The 23,360-nt window shown below is 54.0% G+C and overlaps 2 protein-coding genes and 1 non-coding gene across 31 annotated transcripts in view, besides 4 other annotated features; 1 reads left to right on the top strand and 2 right to left on the bottom strand.

Moving 5' to 3' along the window:
- The window catches only part of SLC25A29 (solute carrier family 25 member 29), a 27,878-nt gene extending 5,728 nt beyond the window's left edge, over positions 1-22,150 (top strand). For 4 of the 29 annotated variants that reach the window (NM_001352821.2, XM_047430946.1, XM_047430948.1 and 1 more), the window contains 4 exons: positions 1,544-1,702; positions 1,832-1,875; positions 7,340-7,423; positions 7,685-9,601. In NM_001352821.2, the coding sequence (NP_001339750.1) occupies positions 1,544-1,702; positions 1,832-1,875; positions 7,340-7,423; positions 7,685-8,434 (1,037 nt within the window). In that variant the 3' untranslated portion in view covers positions 8,435-9,601. Of the gene's footprint in view, positions 1-1,543; positions 1,703-1,831; positions 5,092-7,339; positions 7,424-7,684; positions 9,602-12,869; positions 12,990-14,185; positions 14,317-20,651 lie in introns of those variants that run through there. The other 25 variants (NM_001039355.3, XM_006720039.5, XM_047430949.1 and 22 more) reach the window with 21 other exon arrangements.
- Positions 6,459-6,508: a silencer, noted in NCBI's record as "silent region_6086". NCBI's record gives its function as "represses an Ori minimal core promoter by ATAC-STARR-seq in GM12878 lymphoblastoid cells {active_cell/tissue: GM12878}" and the evidence as "EXISTENCE:reporter gene assay evidence [ECO:0000049][PMID:35858748]".
- Positions 14,639-15,398: a silencer, noted in NCBI's record as "silent region_6085". NCBI's record gives its function as "represses an Ori minimal core promoter by ATAC-STARR-seq in GM12878 lymphoblastoid cells {active_cell/tissue: GM12878}" and the evidence as "EXISTENCE:reporter gene assay evidence [ECO:0000049][PMID:35858748]".
- Positions 15,429-15,538: a silencer, noted in NCBI's record as "silent region_6084". NCBI's record gives its function as "represses an Ori minimal core promoter by ATAC-STARR-seq in GM12878 lymphoblastoid cells {active_cell/tissue: GM12878}" and the evidence as "EXISTENCE:reporter gene assay evidence [ECO:0000049][PMID:35858748]".
- YY1 (YY1 transcription factor) overlaps positions 17,929-23,360 on the bottom strand; it is a 43,645-nt gene continuing 38,213 nt past the window's right edge. The window contains exon 5 of the mRNA NM_003403.5: positions 17,929-23,299. Coding sequence (NP_003394.1) covers positions 23,117-23,299 — 183 coding nt within the window. The 3' untranslated portion in view covers positions 17,929-23,116. The remainder of the gene's footprint in view (positions 23,300-23,360) is intronic.
- Positions 21,404-22,384: an enhancer, noted in NCBI's record as "H3K4me1 hESC enhancer chr14:100744670-100745650 (GRCh37/hg19 assembly coordinates)". NCBI's record gives its function as "activates a minimal SCP1, AML or CMV promoter by ChIP-STARR-seq in primed H9 embryonic stem cells {active_cell/tissue: H9 hESC(primed)}" and the evidence as "EXISTENCE:reporter gene assay evidence [ECO:0000049][PMID:30033119]".
- MIR6764 (microRNA 6764) lies at positions 23,300-23,360 on the bottom strand. Its single transcript, NR_106822.1, has one exon. It is a non-coding gene; the product is annotated as a microRNA 6764 (primary transcript).

Below are 23,360 nucleotides of genomic sequence, written 5' to 3'. Positions count from 1 at the left end.
CATCTAAAAGAAGATAGTAAGAAAAGGTTCAAAACTACACATTGGGCACAGTGGCTCATGTCTGTAATCCCAGCACTTTGGGAGGCTTGGCTTTTTTTGAAGTCAGGAGTTTTCTTGAACAAAGCCTGGGCAGCATGGCAAGACCCATCCTGCCAAAATTACAAAAATTAGCTGGGTGTGGTGGCTCATGCCTGTTGTCTCAGCTACTTGGGAGGCTAAGGCAGGAGGGTCGATTGAGCCCAGGAGGTGGAGGTTGCAGTGAGCCAAGATTATGCCACTGCACTCCAGTTTGGGTGACAGAGTGAGATCTTGTCTCAAAAAACAAAAACACCAAAATTACAAGTTGGACAAAACCATACCAGTCACATGTAACCAAAGAGAAAGCAGAACTGGCAAAGTTAAAGTGAGTATCAAGTGGGTTTTAGGGTCCAAACTTTTTTTTCTTTTTGAAACGGAGTCTTGCTCTCTGGGTCGCTGGAGTGCAGTAGCGCGATCTCAGCTCACTGCAACTTCTGCCTCCTGGATTCAAGCAATTCTCCCACCTCAGCCTCCTGAGTAGCTGGGACTATAGGCACCCGCCACCACACCTGGCTAATTTTTGTATTTTTAGTAGAGACGGGGTTTCACCATGTTGGCTAGGCTGGTTTTGAACTCCTGATCTCAAGTGATCTGCCCACCTTGGCCTCCCAAAGTGCTGGGATTACAGGCGTGAGCCACCACACCTGGCCAGGTCCAAAGTATTAAAGGATGGATAGGATGTTAGGTAAAGATACAAAGTTCAATTTGTGGAGATGCATAGTAACTTCCACAGGCATCAAGTGGAAGAGTGAGAATGGGTCGTAATGTTAGTTTGTTACTCAGCAGATGCCAGCTGTTTTAATTATACATAAACGCTACTGGCAGTAAAGGGAGAGCTTGAACAGATGTCCACGTGAAACTCCAGGGAGAGGAGCATGGGAGTCAGAGTCAGTTACCTGACCTCACTGAGCCTGTTTCTCCTGTGAAATGGGTAATGAGGCTGCTTACTCACAGTGGTGGCAAGACTCAGAGATGGTTACCACCTGCACAGCATTTAGGACTCTGGAGAAGTGTTTGTGAGCCATTTTGGAGGGGTGAACCTTTGTCCTTCAAGAGGGGCTGGATTTTTGGCAGGACCTGAAGAACCAAGGATGACCGCACAGTCACAAGCTGTCTCCCTGGGCTCAAGGTGGCTCCCACTGAGGGAAGGGGACGGAGGTATCAGCCAGTGCATCAGGACCTGGGGTCGTCACTCCCAAGGGGCCATTACCCTGTTCAGTCTCCGTGGCCACTCTGGGGGAGGGAGGTAAACCTTTACAGGTAAGGCCCAGAGTGAGGCCCAGAGACAGAGTCATTTGTGAGCACGCCAGGCTGATGAGCGGCAGGGGGAAAATTCAAATCTGGGGAGGGTCTGACCCCAAAGTCCAACATCTCTGGAGCCTCCTGCCCATGTCAGGTGTTTGGATTAATGGGATATCCCAGAAATAGTGTGTGCAGCCTCCCAGGGGACAACTTCTGCTGTCAGCCACCCAGACCAGTCAGCCGCGGAGAGCAGCAGCCTGCAGATGGGACACCAGTGCTGAGTGGGACAGGTGCTGGCTTGGCCTTGGGATGTCACATGCATACCCTCCCAGTGGACGTGAGGATTCCAGGGGCTCATGGGATCTGCCTGCTGCACCCACAGGTGCTTGGTCAATGTCCTTTCCCCGGCAGCAGCTCCTGCCAGTCTTCCTTGTCAGAACCCCCTCCTGCCCAGCACCCTGCACTGTGTTTCTGAGGTATGTGGGTCACAAGTCCCCCTCTCCTCCTCCAGGTGTGGCAGGCGTGCTTGTGGGACACCCGTTTGACACGGTCAAGGTGAGTCTCATCGCTGCTTTTTTTTCCTCGGCGCGTACATTGGAGAGAGGCTCACAGGGTTGGGGTGGCTGGAAGCCTGTTTCCGTGTACAGCCCCAGGTGGGCAGCTGCTTTTACACCAGGCCGGGTTGAACCTTCCTCACTGCTTTGTCCTGGCATCTCCCAGCTGGGGCTGATCCACATGCTGGGTTCATGGCCAAGTCCATCCTGGGCTTGGCCAGCTGGAACCGAGGTGCTGAGGTTTTCTCCCACCCAGAGCAAGGGCACCCACATGTTCCCATGCAGAACTCTCCCAAACAGTTCCTTGAAAGAAAGAAAAGTTCAGAGAGAAAATACAAAAAAAACCAAAACTCATATCTCCCATGAACATGATCTTCACGGAGTGGTGATCATCCTTACAGAGAATCCAGTGATGGTTTCCCACGTGCCAGAGGCCTGAGGAAGGGCCCTGTTAGCCGGTTCCTTGATAACACCCCACACCTCCATGAACCGGAGTTCCAGGTTCTCAGACCCCCAGAACGGAAACCAAGGAAATCTATGCCCTCCAGCTGGAAATTCCCCAATAAACCCCCCACCCTCCGCTTGTGGTTGGGCTGTGTGTTCTGAAAGTAGCCCAGCGGGGCCCTTCCTTGCTCTTTTTCCTTGGCCCCAGGGCAAGCTGTGAGTGGCAGGCACCAGACCAGCCTTGTGCTTGCTGGCAGCGCTACACGTGGCCGCTCTTCCCACTGAGCAAAGGCACAGCTGACGGCAAGGCAGGATGCGCACCCTGAGCTGGGTTTGCGGGAGACTTCCAGTCTCCTTTTCTGGTGAGCCTAGGTGTGTGTTGGCAGAGACAGTGACTTACCATAAGGGGTGGATTGCATCCAGCACAAGAGTGAGGGTCTGGCCTTTGCATTGGCTGTGACCTTAAAAAGCTCTGTCCCTGGGCCTTGTGCAGGTCCGGGCCCCTCTGCCAGCCGGTTTTCTGCATGACCTTGGGCAGGTCCCTGTATCTTTGGGCTCAAACGTTGTCATCGTGCCAGTGCTCAACAGCATAATTTATGTTGGATTAAATGCTAGCTCTGAAAACCACAACTCTTCTATCCACTGTAGGCCAATTTGGGGAGGAGGCTGAAGGGCCAGGCTTTCTTGGCAGGCAGCGGCCCCACGTTTGCTGCACCGGCCTGCCGAGAGTGAGGCCGTGCAGAGCCTGCCCACACAGCCCCCGGCCCCAGCCATGCCCACGCGCTGCCTAGCCAGGCCACCCGTGAAGCCTCCCCCAGGCCAGAGCAGCCCAGGACAGCCTGGCAGTGTCCACGTTGCACTGTGTTTATGTCTCGTGGTCATGTGTTGTGAACGCCTCTCGCAGCCAAGAAGTGCTTCACATTCACTTCCTCTTTCCAGCTCCGTGGAGGCCTGGGCTCTCTGAGCTATGAATTGGCCAGACCTGCTGGGCTTCTGCCCGGCCCCCTCAGGCAGCCCCTGGCAGGCCTGGGAGCACTTTCGTTCTGGTGCTCTGCTGTCCTGAGCCACTGAGCCCGCGAGCAGCACCCCTGAAGTGACTCAGGGACAGGAGTTTCTCCAGCCCATGAGATTTTACTCCCCAGACCCTACTTCACTGGCGTCTGGAGGGTGGTCTTTGAGAAGATCTATATGTGATCCTTTTGTTTTGTTTTGTTTTTGTTTTTGCCACTCTGTCGCTCCAGCAGCATCACATCTGGACATACCTACCTTAAAAAGCTGAACTTCTTTTCTTTGAGATGGAGTCTGTGTCTGTCACTCAGTTTGGAGTGCAGTGGCGCGACCTTGGCTTACTGCAACTTCTTCCTCCTGGGTTCAAGTGATTCTCCTGCCTCGGTTCCCCCCCCAACCCCCTGGGTAGCTGGGATTACAGGCACGTGCCAGCACGCCTGGCTACTGTTTGTTTTTAGTTGAGGTCCAGCACATATAGAAAGTGCACACATCCTGGCCAGGCTAGTGGCTCATGCCTGTAATCCCAGCACTTCTGGAGGCTGAGGCGGGCGGATCACAAGGTCAGGAGATCAAGACCATCCTGGCTAACACGGTGAAACTCTGTCTCTACTAAACATACAAAAAATTAGCCGGGCGTGGTGGCGGGTGCCTGTAGTCCCAGCTACTCGGGAGGCTGAGGCAGGAGAATGGCGTGAATCCGGGAGGCGGAGCTTGCAGTGAGCCAAGATCGCGTCACTGCACTCCAGCCTGGGCAACGGAATGAGACTCCGTCTCAAAAAAGAAAAAAGAAGGAAAGTGCACACATCCTAGGTGTACAAGTCGTCGCAAAACACATGCGTGGCGAGCTGCCACCCAGGAGAAACAGAACATGGCCAGCCCTCTGGAAGTCTTCCCTCCTGCTCCTATCAACTCCTCCCTCCCCTTCTGAGGCTTCCACTGGCCTAACTTCCTCCTTTTTTTTTGAGACACGGTCTTGCTCTGTCACCCTAGGTGGAGTGCAGTGGTGCAATCATAGCCCACTGCAGCCTTGATTTCCCAGGCTCAAGCAATCCTCCCACCGCAGCCTCTCAAGTAGCTGAAACTACAGGCACACACCACCATGCCTAGCTCATGTTTTTTTTGAAGTTATTAGTAGAGATGGGGTCTTGATATGTTGCCCAGCTGGTCTCAAACTACTGGGCTCAAGTGATCCTCCTGCCTTGGCCTCCCAAAGTGCTGGGATGACAGGCCTGGCCCACTGTCCTCACTTCCAACACCACGGGTCCCTTTTGCCTGGTTGAATATAATTGCAGCTGTACCCTAGGATCATCAGGGGCCACCCGAGTCTGTGTCAGTCCGTACTGTCACATGGCCACAGACTATCTCATGGCTGGGACAGTCACAGTTTATTCCCCCAGGCCCTTGGGACTGAAAGAATCCAAGATCTGGATCTCCTCTATAGCGCCCAGAACCACAGCCACCGTCCTGAAGCACACGGCCTTCACACGTTTCTACACGAAGGGAGTTTTCTGTCCTGCTTCCTTGGACACAGCAATAATCAGGGAGCAGTTGTCTTGACCTATGATGAGGGGGTGACCGGCCATCCCTGGGCATGGGATGGGGAGTGTGGGTGGGGGCTGGCTGTGGGGGCTCCGCGCCTGGATGTGATGTTGAAATTTTGTGTTGCTTTAACCGCCTTTACTTTCTGAGCTAGGGGCTGTCTCCATCCATAGCAAAAGTGTAACTTTGTTGTAGATGGGCGTAAGCCTCACCCTGGAGAGCGCTAGTAAGTACAGACCAGGTGAACCAGATCCCAGCCTGGACCCCACCCTGTCATGCCCATCTCCCCAACCCCAGAGTTCCCTCCGTAGCAGGGGACAGGGAGGGTGTGAGGCAAGCTTGGGCTCAGCACAGGTCCTGGGGTGGGGGCTCGGGCTGGCCAAAAAAAATCAGCCCCCTCTGGATTGGGGGTCCTCATGTGGGGGTCTCTCGGCCCTATGGGGAGCTGGGAGCTTCCTAAACTTGTGTCCAAATGACTAGTTTCCCAGGGGTGGGTCCGTTCCCATCAATCCTCAAAGGAGAGCCTGGCACCCCAAGATTTTAAGAGCCTGAGCTATAAATGACAAGACTTGGGACACTGGGCCACAGTTCCTCTCCCAGAGAGCAAGGGCTCGTCACAGACTGAGGGGTACTGAGGGGTCAGAAACAAAGTGGGGAGAGGCCTCTGCCCACATTGGTGGGAGAAGCTGAGTTGACCTAAGCCTGACATTCCCCAGCCGGCTGGACTTGGGCATTCACCAGTGTCTGTGATCTGCAAAGACTTCACAACACTACCCAGGTGGCACTGAGTATCCAACCTGGGAAGGGACAGCTCCATGTCACATCAGTTCTACTCACACAGCCCTCTTAGTGCCAGTGTTGGGGCTGCAGGAGGAACAGAGATCCCCCCAGAGGCCCCAGAACATTGAAGGGAGAGCAGCAAACCTCGCATCAAGGTGTTGGCCAAGAACTGGGCCTCCAGGGTGGGAGGGTGCTTCGGGCCAATCTTGAAGCATTGGCTTCCAGCTGTTGAGGTCCTGGGGGTACTGAGATGGTACTTGTTTCCTAACAAAACATTTTTTATAAGTGCATTCACCAATAGAGGGCCCACCTATTCTGGTGGAGAGAATTGGAAAAGGTTCCAGAATCCGGGCAGAAGCCTGGCTGTTCCCGGTGAGGGCTCTCCCTTGCTAGCACTCCCTCCCACCCTCACTCTGAGCAACACAGCTGCTCATGTCCCTGGAGAGGACAGCTTTGGCCAAGTTGTTAAACATCTCTGAGCCTGTCTTCCCATCTTGGAAATGGGGGCAGTTGTCCCAATGCCGAGATAATTGAGTGTGAAGCCCTCCCCTGTCCCATGCTGCCTAGTACCGAAGGCACTTGCTCTGTGGCCCTGGCTGTAAGAATGATCATTTCTGAGTCAGACCTAGGGAACCAGCCCCTGAGAATGTGACTTGACCTAGTTTACTCCCACCGCCCGCTCTGCAACTCTGAGCCTCCTATTGAGCAAAGATAAGCTCATAGGCAACAAAGAGCACTTTGACATGGAAGAGGTTCTGGGCCACTGGGCTCGGAGGCAGCGGGGCCTGACCAGCGCCCCAGGCCCCAGAGCTGCTGACGTGGGTCCCCAAGGAGGTTGTTGGCTGTTCTCTTGCCACCACTCTATTAACTCATAACTGCTGTTCTCACGAGAGGCTACTGGCAGAGACCAGGCAGGAGCTCCTGGAGCCAAGGTCATTGCTTTTATTTTTATTTATTTATTTATTGAGATGGAATGTTCCTTTCTCGCCCAGGCTGGAGTGCAGTGGCATGACCTCACTGCATCCTCTGCCTCACGGGTTCAAGCAATTCTCCCACCTCAGCCTCCTGAGTAGCAGGGATTACAGGCGTATGCCACCACACTAGGCTAATTTTTTTTACAGACACGATTTCGCCACGTTGGCCAGGCTGGTCTTGAACTCCTGACCTCAAGTGATCCACCCACCTCAGCCTCCCAAAGTGTTGGGATTACAGGCGTGAGCCACTGCACCTGGCCAGGCTCATCACTTTTTGCGCCTATTGCCTCGAAGCCAGTCTCTGATGGGACATTAGGGCAGGGGCCCTTCAGCCTAGTCTGGGACATGGGCCGCTCACTCAGCAGTATGACAAGCATCACCTGGAGAACGGGCCAGTCTCAGGAGGTCGTTCATGCCCCACTGGCAGTGCACTGTGCAGCCATAGTGTAAACAAGAGGCTTAACCTGAATTGGTCTGAGATCTTGGGGACCCCCTACCCTGTCTCCAGCAGCCTGTCCCTTTAGCTGTTTGCCTACTGGCACCCCATCCTGAGAAGGCATAGATACCCGGCCCACCCTGCCCTGGAATTACAAAAGTCTTAGACTGTGCCTGAGTGCCCGGCCTCCTTGGGAGACCCTCCTAGGCAGCCTAAGCACCAGACCCGGGAGCTGGGTGCTCTGGTCCTGCCTGCCTGCCTCTCACTGGACCCTCTCCTTCCAGGTACGGCTTCAGGTCCAGAGCGTGGAGAAGCCTCAGTACCGCGGGACGTTGCACTGCTTCAAGTCCATCATCAAGCAAGAGAGCGTGAGTGGCCTGGGCTGGTGGGGCTCGGGAGGCACAGGATGGGGAACTAGCTTCCGGGCTGCCACCACCCCAGACCAGAGAGCCAGGAAGGAAGGTGTCAGGACGACCAGGAGGCCAGTCAGGACCTAGGTTCTAACGAAATTCTGCTTGGTCCTCAGGAGCCCCTGGGGTGGGCTGGGGCTGCCATCCCCCGACCCCCTTCCGCGTGGAGGGCCCGGGAGGTGCGCGTTGCCGGCTCTGATGGCGTCTCTGTCCCCGCAGGTGCTGGGCCTGTACAAGGGCCTGGGCTCGCCGCTCATGGGGCTCACCTTCATCAACGCGCTGGTGTTCGGGGTGCAGGGCAACACCCTCCGGGCCCTGGGCCACGACTCGCCCCTCAACCAGTTCCTGGCAGGTGCGGCGGCGGGCGCCATCCAGTGCGTCATCTGCTGCCCCATGGAGCTGGCCAAGACGCGGCTGCAGCTGCAGGACGCGGGCCCAGCGCGCACCTACAAGGGCTCGCTGGACTGCCTCGCGCAGATCTACGGGCACGAGGGTCTGCGTGGCGTCAACCGGGGCATGGTGTCCACGTTGCTGCGTGAGACGCCCAGCTTCGGCGTCTACTTCCTCACCTATGACGCTCTCACGCGGGCGCTGGGCTGCGAGCCGGGCGACCGCCTGCTGGTGCCCAAGCTGCTGTTGGCGGGCGGTACGTCAGGCATCGTGTCCTGGCTCTCTACCTATCCTGTGGACGTGGTCAAGTCGCGGCTGCAGGCGGACGGACTGCGGGGCGCCCCGCGCTACCGCGGCATCCTGGACTGCGTGCACCAGAGCTACCGCGCCGAGGGCTGGCGCGTCTTCACACGGGGGCTGGCGTCCACGCTGCTGCGCGCCTTCCCCGTCAACGCTGCCACCTTCGCCACCGTCACGGTGGTGCTCACCTACGCGCGCGGCGAGGAGGCCGGGCCCGAGGGCGAGGCTGTGCCCGCCGCCCCTGCGGGGCCTGCCCTGGCGCAGCCCTCCAGCCTGTGACGCTCACCCCGCCCTCCTTCCCCAGGGCTCCTTCTCAGAAACCTGGGACATAAATTGGCCCCTGAGTCGATTGCCCTGCTTCCTGCTGGGATGCTGCGAGCTGTGGAGTCTATCAGACGTGGGCTGAATTTTGCTGATCAGCTGGGTAGTTTTGGCCGAGAACTGCACTTGCCTCAGTGTTCTCATCTATGAAATAAGGACCCTCATGCCCACACTGTAGAGTCACGAAGCTCAGAGATTATTCCCAGCAGCAGCCAGCACCTGGCCTGGCTGAGGCCATTGCACCGTTATCCTGGAAACTGAGGCAGACACTCCAGCCCCTTTCTGGGATCCTGGCCACGTCATTGTGCTCCTGCCCTGCAGGCTGGCTCCCGGGGGTCTCTGATGGCCAACCAAGGGGCCACCCAGGGACCTCTAACTCCACACATCCTCCACCCGGGGGGGTGGTGGGCCACCCCTCTGGTCTGTGTTAGGGACAGAGGAAAACTTGGTGTGCCTCCTGGTGTCACAGAACTGGATCCTCTGCATACCCCAGCTTCTCCACATGCCACTGCTAGGGGTACCCCAGCTGCTGCCACTCCTGCTGGAGGGTGAACTGGGGACCCTGCACCCTCCGGGAAGCCATGGAGTCTGCTGGAGGCACCATATCAGCCTGCGGGACTAGGGTGGGGAGCAAACAGGCCAGCGGTGGAGGTCTGGACAGTTCAAGTGTGATGCAGCTGTGGCAAGGAGAAATCCTTCCGCCTCTGGGCCTCAGGCTGCCTGTCCATAAAATGGGGACATGGCCAGCTGACGGACAACTGAGTCTCCGGCCCACCTACCACCGCCAGCCAGGATCCCCCAAAGTGTGCAGAGGGCTCAGCAGAGAACAGTATGGGACCCCCTCACCAGGCCTGGAACACCTCCAGCCACAAAGAAGCCAAAGGTCAGTCCCTCTGCTCCCCAGCAAACGGTGCCTCCCAGGCATTCTCAGTGCCAGGGCTTCATCCCTGTGAAGGCACAGGGCCTGCTAGTGGGCACAGGGGTGGCTAGTTGGGGCCTGGGGCAGAGGAGGGCTGCACCAGGCGTCCTGGGGAATGTGCTCAGTGAAGACGACACTGGGCTTTGCACAGCCTGGTGTCGCTGTACAGAAACTGTCAAGGGAATAAAGTGTTCTTTGTTTTTTAAGTGGCGAGGCTGCCTTTGCATATGGTGGAGGAAAGGGCTTCATTCAGCACCCTTGCCCTGGAGTCGAAGGGGCCAGCTCAGGGGTGCGTGTGCCCTTGGACCCTGACAGCAGCCTTGGCCATGTGACCTGGGCAGTTGCGGATACATCTGAGAGCCTGTTTTCTCATCTGCAAGGCAAGCTAATGAAGGGCGTGAACACGCTGGTGCAGCCTGGCCATTCAGCAGATGCCCCTCTGCTATCATCATCCCAGCAATGAGAGAGAGAGGCCTGTGGTGAGGGGCACTGGCGGGCGGGGCAGCAGGGGCAGGGTGTGTCCCAAAAACAGCTTCCTGGAAGAGGGGAGGTCTGAGTGGAGCTGACCATTTCAGCCACCCGGGCAACTTGGGCACAACTGTACTTAACCCAAACTAGGAGGTCAGAGAGGGCTTCCTGGAAGAGGGCATCCTGGAGCTTTGCCAAAGGTGTGGTGTGGGGGTCTCACTGCCCACCTCACCTGCAGTTCTGTTCAGCCTCCTGGAGTCAGCCCTTGGCATCCTGAGCCTCTGCAGCCACCAGCCCTGGAGGCTTTCCCTCCCAAGTGCTGAGCCAAGAAGCTCTGCCCACTGACAAGGGGGAGTCGGGGAGGGGCCCCAGTTCCTGTGCCTGTTTAACCCTAGTGCTAGCCTGGGAAGTTGGGCTTTACAGGGAGGCAGGAGGCGGGGAGGAAGCTGGCTGTTGACCCCTGGGGTCTCCTGGCCTCTCTCGCTTCTCTTTACTCTGAAATAAACCAGGGGAAGCTCCCAGGGATGGGGGAAACACCCTGGCCATGGGCACAGAGAGGGGCCCCTTCCCTAGCTCCTCCATGTCCAGCTTTGGCAGCCCCTTTGCCTCTCTAGGCCTGGGTGGCTGAATCTCTCAGGGCAGCTTGAGTGTGGCCTGTGGCTGTGGTCCCCATCACCCTGGATCTCTCCACACATCTGCACTCTCTAGAAAGGCCCCAACGTGACCCTTGTCAGGAACTAATTTGAGCCCTGCTCACCCTGGGGCTTCTCCACGAACCCTGCGGCTGCCTGCCCTCTGGGGACAGCACACAGACAGGCCAGCCCTTCAGAAGTGAGGAGTGGTGCGGCAAGGAGCAAGGTGAAGGGGCGGGGGGCTTCTAGCTCCCTCCCACTTCCCAGTTCAGCGGCCTCACATGACCAACACATCTGCCAGGCAGGGAGTAGAGTTGTTGTTTTTAATGAATTTATTTTACATTTTCTTTTCTCCCTGATTTGAACTTTTTTTTTTTTTTTTTTTTGAGTCTTGCTCTGTTGCCCAGGCTGGAGTGCAGTGGTGCTCTTTCAGCTCACTGCAACCTCTACCTCCCGGGTTCAAGTGATTCTTCTGCCTCAGCCTCCAAGTAACTGGGATTACAGGCGTGCACCACCACACCTGGCAAATGTTTCTATTTTTATTAGAGACAGGGTTTCACCATCTTGACCAGGCTGGTCTCAAACTCCTGACCTCAAGTGATCCACCCGCCTCAGCCTCCCAAAGTGCTGGGATTACAGGTGTGAGCCACTGCGCCCGGCCTCTGATTTCAATTGATTTGGAATAAGTGATATATGAAGTGCTAAAAACTAAAAATACTACCAGAATCCAGGCTTGTGCAGTGAAGAGGAAAACCTCCTTCCACCTCCCAGGGGCCAGCCTCTCCTCCTGAGTCGAGGACAGTCTCCAGTTCCCAGAGGGCATCCAACACATCTTGGGCAAGTGCCAGCATGGAGCAGCGGAGGGACATCTGCACCCCCTACAAAGTGTGGCCGAGGTCCTGACTGTTCTGTTCTTTGCTGTCTTCCCTTGACAGTGATCCTGGAGATTGCATCCTTCTCCTAGGGCTGCCGTAACAAAACACCACACACTGTGGCTAAACAATAGCCAAGTGTCCTCTGAGAGTTCTGAAGGCCACACTCCAGCTGCAGGCAGGGTTGGTTCCTTCTGGGGGCTCTGAGGGACGAACTGTTCCCTGCTTCTTCCAAGCTTCTGGGGGCAGCTGGCAATCCTTGGCTCCCTAGGCTCACAAGAGCATCGCTCCGATCGCTGCCACCATCTCTTGCCGCCTTCTCCTGTGTGTCTGTGTCTCCATGTCTTCTCTTTGTATAAGGGCACCAGTCATATGGGATTAAGGGCCCACCCTACTGTAGTATGACCTCATCTTAACTAAAAACATCTGCAGAGACCAGGTTCCAAATCAGGCCAAATTCAGTTGCCTGGAGTTAGGACTTGAACGGATTTTTCTGGGGCCACAATCCAACCTTCAACAGGGCTCTGTATTGGTGTGTTTGAATGGTCCTCCTTCCTGCTGACAGCTGCATGGCATATTTCATTGGATAAACTTTGCTTGATTTGCTTTTCCAGTCAGGTTTGGGAGAGTAACTGGGGGACACGTCTGAGCAGAGTCCTAGAGGAAGAGCAGCAGCGGACGGGGCCACAGATACCACTAGGCTGTAGCTGGAAGGGCAGATGTAGCCAAGGTCCCGAGGTGGAAGGGGTGGGTGGGGGCTGGGGAGGGGGGTGAGGCAGGGCCTGGAGGACAGCAGGGCCAGACGTTCAAGAGGGCCACCAGGGCGGGTCACATGGCAGTGCCTTGGGGACAGTGGCAGATCCTCCTAAGTGCCAACTGCTCTTGAAATCTCAACTTGATCTGGGCTTCAGTATGTCTAATCAAAACAGCTTCCCAAACTGTCTTTTTTTTTTTTTTTTTTTTTTTTGAGATAGAGTTTCACTCTTTTCACCCAGGCTGGAGTGCAATGGCACAATCTTGGCTCACTGCAACTTCCACCTCCCAGGTTCAAGTGATTCTCCTGCCTCAGCCTCCTGAGAAGCTGGGATTATAGGCGCAGCAACCATGCCCTGCTAATTTTTTGTGTTTTTAGTAGAGATGGGGTTTCACCACGTTGGCCAGGATGGTCTCAAACTCCTGACCTCAGGTGATCCGCCGCCTCAGCCTCCCAAAATGCTGAGATTACAGGCATGAGCCACCGCGCCTGGCCCCCAGACTGTCTTGCGGCCGGAGCTGGCCATATGTCTGACAGCTTCTGAGAAAGCTGTGAAACAGGTAAAACACACTGTGGCACACCCCTTGACCTCTGGTCTCTGACCTAGCTCTCTGCTTCCCACTGAAAAGGGAATAGGATGCCTGGAGGTGCAGTGGGAGAGACCACGGCCGTGAGCCACTGAGCCAGCCTGGCCTTGGAAGGCTGGTCACACTCCTCTCATTCAGCACACTATTCCTGTCATTTGCAGCCAAATGCACCACCAGCCGCCATGCAGAGCTGACTTTATTTCGTTGCATCAGCAGCTGTGAGCAGGTTTTACCCAGGGGAGTGACAGGATCCAATTTATGTTTTGAAGACCCCACAGGAGGTTAGGAGGCAATAAGAGGCAGGCCAGGGTGGGGGGCAGAGGCCATGAGGGAGTCCAAGCCAGAGGACCTCTTGAGGCCAGGAATTCGGAGGGGGGGGGTGGTGCTCCAGTGGCAGGTGGGCGAGACCACTGGGGAATAAACGGCAGAAGAAGCCCTTGGAGGTGTTGAGGGTGCAGTCAAGGGAGGCGAAACTATGTGGCAGGAGCTAGAGTCTGAACTCCGCAGGGATCTGGAGTTTATGGCTCCTTCCTTGACCCCTTAAGGGAAAGGGCTATGAAACGGCACTGCCAAGGCATTTGTCTCTGGGGTGGGAAAGGGGGAGGGAGGCTTAAAGCGTGGAAGGGCAGAGAGAAGGGGGCAGGCCCCGTGAGGGCTGGTGCTCAGGTCCTTGGTGCAGAGTTCAGGCAAAGCAGTGGCAGTTTGGGGAGTCCAAATCTGATAAACTGTTTTTCCAATCTCAGAGCCCACACTGGCTTCACACACAGACTTCCCCTTCCCTTTTCTTTTGATCCCTTTGGACATCAGGTGCATGGAGTGAATGGAGCATAAGCCTCCTTGTGCCCTTCTCATCATTGGCCTGGGCCTTTAGTGAGTCATTTCTTATAAAAAGCACCCGTGAGGCCACACTGACCTGGGACCTTCACCAGCCCTCCTTGTGCTGGGTGGGTTCTTGTGACTGTAGGGATGGCTCAGCCCTATGCACACCCATCCCTTCATTCTCCCAACAGCCATACAAGGTCGGTGCTGGCACCCCCATTTTGCAGTGCAGGGTACCAGTTGGGGAGGGTCCCTGTCCAAGGCCACACAGCTAGTTGGTGCTGAAGCCAGCGCCAGGAGCCAGTCAGCCCATCCTTTGCCCTTCAGCAGGATCAGCTGGGGCCAGGCAACCCTGGAGCGGCAATGCAAGAACCAGAGGGGGCCTGGCCAGGGCAAGGGTCCAGGTCCCATGCTCCTGGGTCTCAGCTTCCTTGCTGCTTCTTACACACCCCTGACCTCATGGTACCCACCTACCCACGGAGAGGCAGATGCATTGCTGGGTCCAGAGGCCACTTCCCAGGGAACTGGGAAAGGCGGTGGGGCCAGTGTCCACCTTGATCAGGGCACAGCAGAGATAGGGCAGAGGCTGAGGGGAATGGGCCTGTGCCCCAGGGGCTCCTTGCTCAGCCTTGCTCTCCTCCGACTTGACCTCCCCCAGGATCGTGGGGAATGCCAGACGCCCCCACCAGCGCCCCTCTGCAAGCAACACCCCCCCCCCCAGCCATGCTCTGCCAGGCCAGCCAACACCACGCCAGCTGTAATGATGTCCCACAAAGTTTGGGTGAATGAGTAAGTTCAAATCTGGCTTGAATATCCTTGGGGATGGTGAGGACACAGGACAAAGAGCAGACACAGGGGAACATGGTGGGCTCTGTTTGGTGTTGTGACAGTACTGGCCGGTTTCTTGTTTATCTCCCCAACCTCTACCTTAGCTCCATGAGGGCCAGGGGTGCAAAGTCAGCATGCTGAATGAATGAGTGAATGAATGGGTGAGAGCAGAGGCTGCTGAGTACAGGGCCAGGTTGGGTTTTGCCAGGCAATACAGAGACGGGCCAGGGAAGACGGAATGTACACTGTGAGGCCAGAACACGCTTGGGGGCAGAGGGTGAAGCGGTGATGGGCTGGAGAGGGGCTGGGGCGGCCGGAGTGGCTCCAGAACCTACAGGCAGGGTGATGGTAGGAGCCCCCGCCACGCCCGTGGTGGAGCTCTCCGTGGGGAGAGGAAAAGCATCCCCAGCTTGGAGGGCTCCAGGACGTCCCTTTGGGCCGGCACCCCAAGGCCCTGTCTCCCCGCTTCCCGGGCCCGCCCCCTAATCCCAGGACCGCAGCCTCTCCCACCCCGCCCTCCAGGGGGCGCTGCTCCACCGGGGGGAAGGGGGGGCGTCCCAGGGCCTTGCTTAGCTGGGGCCCCCTGGTATGTGGCCCCTCCCTCCTCGGGCGTCGCCGCCGCACCGCCCTGCCCCGTGTCCCTGTGGCCCTGGCGGCGGGAGTCTCCTCCGCCCGAGGCCTCGGGCAGGTGGGGTGCACGCAGCCTCCTTCCGCGTTTCTCGGGCTCTGAATCTCCGCGCCCCCGTGGCCCTGGGCTCACTCCGCGCGGGGGACGCTCGTAAGCGGCGGCGGCTCGCGGGGACCCCACACTCAGGGATTCTGGACAGCCCCCACCGCGCCTCGGGTCCCCGCGAGGTCCGGGCCGCTCCGCGCTGCGCACGCGCAGCCCCTCCCCACAGCGGACGCGGCCCAGCCCCGGGGCCCGCTGGCACAGTGCCCTCCTGCGGCCGGCGGCGGCGGCGCACCCTGCGGGTGGGGGCCCAGGCGCAGGTCTAGAAGCCCCCGGGGCCGCCCGCCAGAGCAGCGTGGGGGACAGGCCCTGGAGCACTGCAGGGTGGCAGGGAAGGGCTGGGACAAAGGCGCGGCCCAAGTCCCCAGAAGGGTCTGGGGGCGGGCAGGGCTGCCCGCGCTAAGTGCTGGCCAAAGGCCAGGCGGGCAGGGGCTAGGGCTGGCCACCAGCTCCCGGGATATTCCTAGGGTCCGGTACAGACGCACGTGGCAGGCCAAGAAGAAGCCATGCAAACACCTGAGGGGCGTGCTCAGACCCCGTCCTGCCTCCTTGCCTCCTCTCCCTCCCTAGCTACCCCGCCCCCCCCCGCTTTTTTAGACGGAGTCTCGCTCTGTCGCCAGGCTAGAGTGCAGTGGCGCGATCTTGGCTCACAGCAACCTCCACCTCCCAGGTCCAAGCGATTCTCCTGCCTCAGCCTCCCGAGTAGGTGGGATTAGAGGCATGCGCCACCACGCCCGGCTAATTTTGTATTTTTAGTAGGGAGGAGGTTTCTCCATTTTGGTCAGGCTCGTCTCAAACTCCCGACCTCAGGTGATCTGCCCGCCTCGGCCTCCAGAAGTGCTGGGATTACAGGCATGAGCCACCGCGTCCGGCCCCTAGCCCCTATTTATCACAGCCTTATCCTCCTTCCTCCAGATGTCATGCCAGTGCCAGTAGGGCAATGCCATTCCTGCCTAAAACAGGGCCTGGCACATAATTGCATTGATCGAATCAGGGCCCCTGGAGGTGGAGAGGTAAGCTTTGGAAACGAAAACTCCAAGAGGGAGGGGAGGGACAGGACAAGAGGTGATCCATTAGGAAAGGCTGAAAAATGAGATAAAGCCAGGACTGGGCTCTGAGGGTCGGCGGGACTGGATTTTTCGGTAGGAAGTAGGGAACCGCTGCAGTTCAAATCACGTGCTGAGACCCTGTTAGCAGAAAGGCCGTGTGGGGAGGTCAGCAAGGACCGAGGGGAACGGTCACAATGGCGGGCAGTCGGGGAGCCCTGAGGACCCTTCCAAGGCCAGGAGGCACCACTGCGCCAGAACAGAAAGGGCCGCACACCAGGGAGGCCGATGCACTGCTCCATAAACAAGGGCCAGGGCTTTTTTGAAAGGGGACTGGAGGAGAATTCAAGCTAAGGAGCCAGTGGCAAGCAGAGTACCTTGGAAGCCAGGCAGGCTTGGGCTTTGAATTCTGGCTGCCTGGACTTTGCAAATAAATCTGAGCCTGTTCCTCTCTTACAGCATGGTGATATTGCTAGCTAATTCATCAAAGGGTGGTTTGGAGGAGGCCACTGGGTACATATGTGTTCTCAACAAATGTTATGGGCTGCGCATGGTGGCTCACGGTAATCGTAGCTACTCGGGAGGCCAAGGCAGGAGGACCACTGGAGTCCAGGAATTCAAGGCAGCAGTGAGCTATGGTCGTGCCACTGCACTCCGGCCTAGGTGATAGCAAGACCCTGTCTCTTACCAAAAAATAAATAAATAAATAAAATAAAAAATTATAGCCAGGCAGAGACACCGGCAAGTATAAAGGAGAGATACTGGTTTCATCTGTATCTAGGGGTTTCTAAAGAAAGCAATTCCAGGCCAGGCACGGTGGTTCACGCCTGAAATCCCAGCACTTTGGGAGGCCGAGGCGGGTGGATTGTGAGGTCAGAAGTTTAACACCAGCCTGGCCAACATAGTGAAACCCCCATCTCTACTAAAAATACAAAATTAGCCGGGCATGGTGGCACACACAACCTCCTGCTATTCAGGAAGCTGAGGCAGGAGAACCGCTTGAACCCGGGAGGCAGAGGTTGCAGTGAGCTGAGATTGCGCGCCACTGCACTCCAGCCTGGGAGACACAGCAATACTCCATCTAAAAAAAAAAAAAAAAAAAGCAATTCCAAAGCTTTAGTTCCTTCCCATGTAAAATCTACAGGTTTTCCACCGTCTTGCTCAGCTCAGCCCTACTTAGGGCCTTCACTCAGCAGTTCTGGGCTTGCACAGGCCTGCGACTTGCCACCTCAGTAGCATTCTGTCAGCAGCCCCTTCTGTCACTAGCAAAAAGGGAAAGTCACATGTATTCAAGTAATAATGAACTTCACGCCTCACTCTGAACCTTGCTCTGCAGAACATCAGACACCAAGGCCCCAACCAGAGGGAGGAAGCTCTGCTCTGCATTTTGCTTTTGGCTAAATCCTAAGTAGCTCTCAGTGTATTTGGTCAAGTTCTTCCGAGTCCATCCCAGTTAGCTCCGGAGCTTCCAGGGCTGACATGGGCTCATAGGTCCGGCTGCGTGGGCATTTCACTGGGCTGTGCTTTCTGAACAGTGGGTGAGGCTCTCTTTAAAACGCCCTCTTGCTCCTGAGCCCACCTTGGAGCTGAAAGGTTACAGAAGCATTTCTTGCTGGTGTGAGACCAAATCCTGGGAGTTCCCAGTCCTGTGTGTGAGAAAGCAAGCCGCAAGAACTGCCCCGGGCAGTTTAGGCAACTCTTAGACCAGGAAGGGCTCATGGCCTGGTTTCATGTGCAGTGAAACACTAAAGAAGTGGCTTAGAGGACTGAGGAACAAACAAGAACCACAGGCATTAAAAAGCTTAACATTATGCATTTATTATATTGTATAGAGCCATATTACACATGCTTGGTGCTTCAAACTGAGTTATCAATGTTTTTCTGGATGCAAAGCCATCTGATGCTGGATGCGGATGCCTTAAATACTATATTTCTGCATCTATGACCTATGAGCTAAGGAAAAACCAAGGACAATTCCAGAAATGGCAAAGAACACTTAAGAAAAAGATGTACATGAGACGAAATGCTAAGTCCTTGAGCCAGGGCCTACAGAAGTTACCAGAAAGCGAATAAAAACATAATTTTTCTCACCACCTGTTGATAATAGAGCCTCACATGTCCGGGTATGGACAATGTAGAAAAAAGAGGTTGTTCCGTTTGGTACTGATGCCTTTCTCCCCTCCGTGATGTGTGCGGACATTGTGCGGCCCCCAGAGAGAGCAGCAGACAGAACAGAGCACAGCAAACTGCCCCCTCCTCAACACATCCCAGTGCTGTTTTTTTTTTTTACAGCATCTGGGTGTCTCATGAAAAGCGGTCAATTTGATCAAACTTGCCACCTTGTGGAAAATCAATCAGTGTGCTTCAGATGAATGTGACGCCATCACACGCACCCTCCTCTGACATCCAGAATGCTGGCGGGGGACATGGGGCTGGGTGCCTGCTCGGCCAGGACGAAGCTCTCCATGTGTCACCTCCCACCTTACGGCACCCAGTTTGTGGGAGGTTTGCTTTGCCTGCTGACCTGATGCTAACGCTCAGCTTAAACGCTCCATTCCAGATTTTACAAGGGGACTGGGTGATAACGTGTCAAGTACATGCTGCCCATACTTCCCATCAAGCCTCAGTACAGTCCCAGCTTAAAGATCCTCTCTGGCACCACACTGATCCCTTGGGCCTGGGGGTGGATGCCAGGAAGCCTCTTGGCCACAAATCTGCCCTCTTGTGGGTCAGAGGCCAGCCCTCTCTTGCCTGACGTGACTTGTCTGAAGGGCCTGCACTTAAACCATCTTCAGGCAACCAGGGCATCTGAGCATAACCTGAGCAGTAACAACATAAATCAAGGGTCAGTAATTTGGGGTGGATGAGACCTAGCCAGCCATCCAGTCAGATGCTGCCGTGCAGGTAAGCATGATTCTGAAGGCGTGGGGTACCTTTTGTCCTGTAAAGTCAGAGAGAAGGCTAAGAAGTGCATGGCCAGAACCCCAAGAAAGTGCAGCTTGGAGTTTTGGCTTCCTTCCCCACCGCTTGGGTTAAAAGTTCGGGTGGAATGCACTTGCCAGGACCTGCTGGGCCTGAACTCTGAAGTGCTGCGCTCACATTACTGTCAGTGTATCCAGGACAAAGGGCCCGGAGCCAGACAGGTGCCCCCTACAGCCGAGGGTCCAAGGCAACCCTGTGACTCAGAGCTGGCTTCAGCAAGCCAGCAGAGCAGCTGGGAGGAAGCCTCATGGCATGGCTGTGGCATCAAGTGGGTGTCTGTGAGCAGCTTGGCTCTCACCACTGTTTTGACCTCTGGGATCCTTACTCTTGCTGGGGGTCAGATGTCAAGAAAATAGAAGGATTATTAAAGAATAATTAAATAATTAAAGATCAACAACATGAATTTCCCAAGCCAGGCTGATTTCCAGGTCACAGAAGTCAGAGACCCTGGAAGTGATCAACTCTCTTTGCCTATAGTCGGGGGTGGGGGGAGGTGGGTAGAATTGTCAGGTTTCCTTTTTTTTTTTTTTTTTTTTTTTTTTGGGAGACGGAGTCTTGCTCTGTCACCCAGGCTGGAGTGCAGTGGTGCGATCTCGGCTCACTGCAAGCTCCGCCTCCCGGGTTCACGCCGTTCTCCTGCCTCAGCCTCCCGAAATTATCAGGCTTCCAATTCCAAAACTTCTTTTTAGGGGGCCAGGTTTTCCTGTGCCACAAACTCTGGTCTGAGACCAGTCTGGGACACGTCTCCACAGTAAGTTTTGCAAGGCAGAGTGCAAACGGACGTGGGGCAGTCCTCCAATGTACGCACTCTCAAAACACTGCTCAGGCGGGCTTCCCCCGACTGGAAGTGACTCTCATCTACTTGTGAAGACATGAACTTGAACTCTGCTTGGAAACACGGACAGGTATTGCGCACACTATCCTGTGAAAGGGTCTTATTTAGCAAAATAAGTGACATTTAGAACTTTTACATGAAAACCAAATAGGAAAAAAAAAATCCCGATTTTCCTCAAATCCTCAGGCCTTGAATCTAGGCAAAGCACACAAACACCATATGAAACCAACAGCATGAGTTCAGGGTCATCTTGGAAAATAAATGTCACTCTGGGGTGACAGTTCTTTATACAAATAGTATGCTCCCCCTCTCAACTCCACTACCAAAAAGGGGGAAATAATAAGAAATTCAAAAATAGAAAACAACATCTTGTTAAGTGTAAACTTATCCTCTGGAGTTTTTATATTACATATGCTAGAAACATGCATTTATTTCTGCTCAGATGTACGAAAATATGTCTATCAGTATTACTTATAAATCAGATTAATCCTCAAGACAATGGACTCACTGTTAGAATACCATTTCAAACCTTAGTAAATTACATCGTTAGCAAAATTATAAATTCTAACCACAAGCAGAATGGGTTGAAGTTACACCCAATGAGAACTACCTCTACTCTTTATATTGTTGCTCATTTGTTAGTTTTCTATTGTTGCAAAGTCAGTGCTATGTTAACAAGGAACTTGTTTTCTTGGAACCCCAGATTAAACTCCTTACAGAAGTTAACTCTGCAGACTGAGAAGACGTGAACAGAGAGAGTCAAGGGGAGTGATGACTATTTCAGAGACAGGAAAGGACAGAAGAGATGACCAAAGGCACCCCCAAGGGATCAAGGCACAGAGGAAGAGGGACTTCATCCACACAGGAGCCTGGCTCCTGCAGGCCATGGCATGGCTCTCGGGGCTGCCAGCAGGGCTCCCCATAGCATAGGTGTGCTCTGCGGTGGGCCCTTGGGCAGGGTCCTGAGGACAGTGCCAGGGCCAGGCTCCAGTGCAGCACAATGTTGGGCAAAGGACTCCTAACACAGCCACGCTGGGGCTACTCAACCCGACAGTGGGGAGGGAAGGTGTGGGTGCTCACAAGGCAGGCATCCATAGAAGACGCTGCCCAGGTCCAAGTCAAAGAACTACACGTTCTCATCCGAGCCCTCGGCACTGAAGACCTCCACCATGGGCTGACCTCTCTCCTGACTGCCAGATACAGCAAAGCCTGGCTTACCCAGAAAACAGCTGGGGTCTTCTGCTTAACTCAGTTCCATCAAACTACCCAAGGGGTAACAGATTCTGGATGAATTTTTTAAAGGGTCTCAAGTTAAATGTTTCATTCATGATTCACAAAAGGCACTTCAAAATTCCACAGAGCCACAGGGTCACTGTTAGTAGGTCACCAATCCTCCTGTACAGGACCGATGGAGAAGCTCTAAGACAATGGGCTATGTGTTTCACCTGATGGGGTCCCTGGCCATTTGTAAATAAATCTCGGATATTAGCTAGTTTGTCATTTATCTTGCAGTCAAGCATACACAAAACAGAAAGACACACAGTATGTTTGCACTTTGAATAAATGAGATTTTGCTGTATCATGGCAGTTTATAAAGTATTCTCAAGTCTGTTATTTGACCTAAGATCCAACATTATAATCGTACATTTAAGAGGTTACAATGTGAGAGGTACTCATTGAGCAGAATTTTCTAATAATCTAATCACCTTGCCGATTTGCACCCAGTGTCCATTTAGAAACATGAAATTAAGCTACTGGCACTCAATTGCCACATTGCTAGCATTTAATAAGGACTCCACTAGATGGAGGAACAAGGGCTCTCAAACCAAATAACCAACGACCACAAGCATTTCCTGTCAGACAAGCCAAGGTCCTGCTGGAGCTGCCTCTGAAGGCAGCCGGCTGATGGACAGGCCTGGTCTTCCCTCTGTGTGCCCCACTGCCAGGTGGCACCTTACCCTGCGCAGGCGCTCAGCCTGCGCGGTGGTACAGATGCTTCACTCACACTTGCCGGGGGCTAAAATCACAGCCTATGACCAACCTGGCCTGGGGTGTTCTGAGGTAGTTCCTGAACTCGGGATGCCTGTTACCTACTCTCTTTCAGAAGTCAGGACATGTAGGAAGTATTAAAATATCCATGCATCGCTTTCATCAATAATCACTGTAATTGAGTGCAAAATAAAGGAAACTTGAGTTGCTTTATTTAGCTTCCAATTTCTGGGAGGCTCAAGAATTATAAGTATTCTGGACAACAAAAGAAAATAAGACTGTGCTTACAGATCTTGTTCTGCCATATTCTTGCTTTAGGATTGCTATTTTATTGTTGCCCTTTCTGTTACATGGGATGTACACATCAGGTGTTAAAAGGTACAATACATTCTACAACTGAGCACCACTTTCTGTAACTGAACAGGCAAAGAAATTACACTGAACATCAGCATCTGGCAGTATTTTTTTGGAAAAAAAAAGTGACTAAAATGGGTTTAAATTGATTAACACTATTAAATCACATCTAATATTTGATACTACATGATTCAATACAGCTATACGATACAATTATACAAAATGTGTTAACATCAAAGAATACAACCAAAATTAAGATAGCAAACAAAACCTATATAACTTTTTTTTTTTTACAGGAAAATACTTTTGAAGTATGCATGTAACTGCCCATTCTTTTAAAGAAAATCTACTGCAAGCAAAGTTATCAACCTCCAGAAAAATCACACGTAGCATTACTAAGCATATCCCCAAAAAAGTGTACAATATGCACACTTGGAAAATACAAAATTAAAAAAATTGTAAGCAACAGGTGAGCTTCATATTTATAAGAATGTGAAAAGAAGTCCCATTTTTAGCACTGTTGTATAAAGAATTGTCTTTTGATGCGAAGTTCATGAATTGTCCTCCTGTTGGGACCACACTTTACAAAAACACTGTGTTTTTGAAACGAGATTACAGAGCAAGATAGAGCATCTTAGCAATGTCATCTTAGTAAAGTTTTTTTTTTTTAATTTTTACTACTTTATCAAAACATGTCCCTTAGGTGTGTAGGATTCATTTTTAAAATTCTTCCTAGAAATAATATACAAAGGAGAGGCATATTTATTCCCAATCACACTTCTGGAAGATGCTTCCCGTGGTCGAGAAGGGTCTTCTCTCTTCTTTTCACTGGTTGTTTTTGGCCTTAGCATGTGTTAAGATGTGAGATTTCAGGTTAGTTGACTGAGCAAACTTCTTATTACAACCATCGAAGGGGCACACATAGGGCCTGTCTCCGGTATGGATTCGCACATGTGTGCGCAAATTGAAGTCCAGTGAAAAGCGTTTCCCACAGCCTTCGAACGTGCACTGTCAAGGAAAGACCAGAGATCAACCCACTCAGCAACTCTGACCAGACCCTGGGAGTCAG

This window comes from Homo sapiens, chromosome 14, assembly GCF_000001405.40.
Source record: "Homo sapiens chromosome 14, GRCh38.p14 Primary Assembly".
In the NCBI taxonomy this organism is placed as follows: Eukaryota; Metazoa; Chordata; class Mammalia; order Primates; family Hominidae; genus Homo; species Homo sapiens.
Note: the sequence above shows the minus strand (reverse complement) of the source record. Positions and strands in the feature narration are given on the sequence as shown.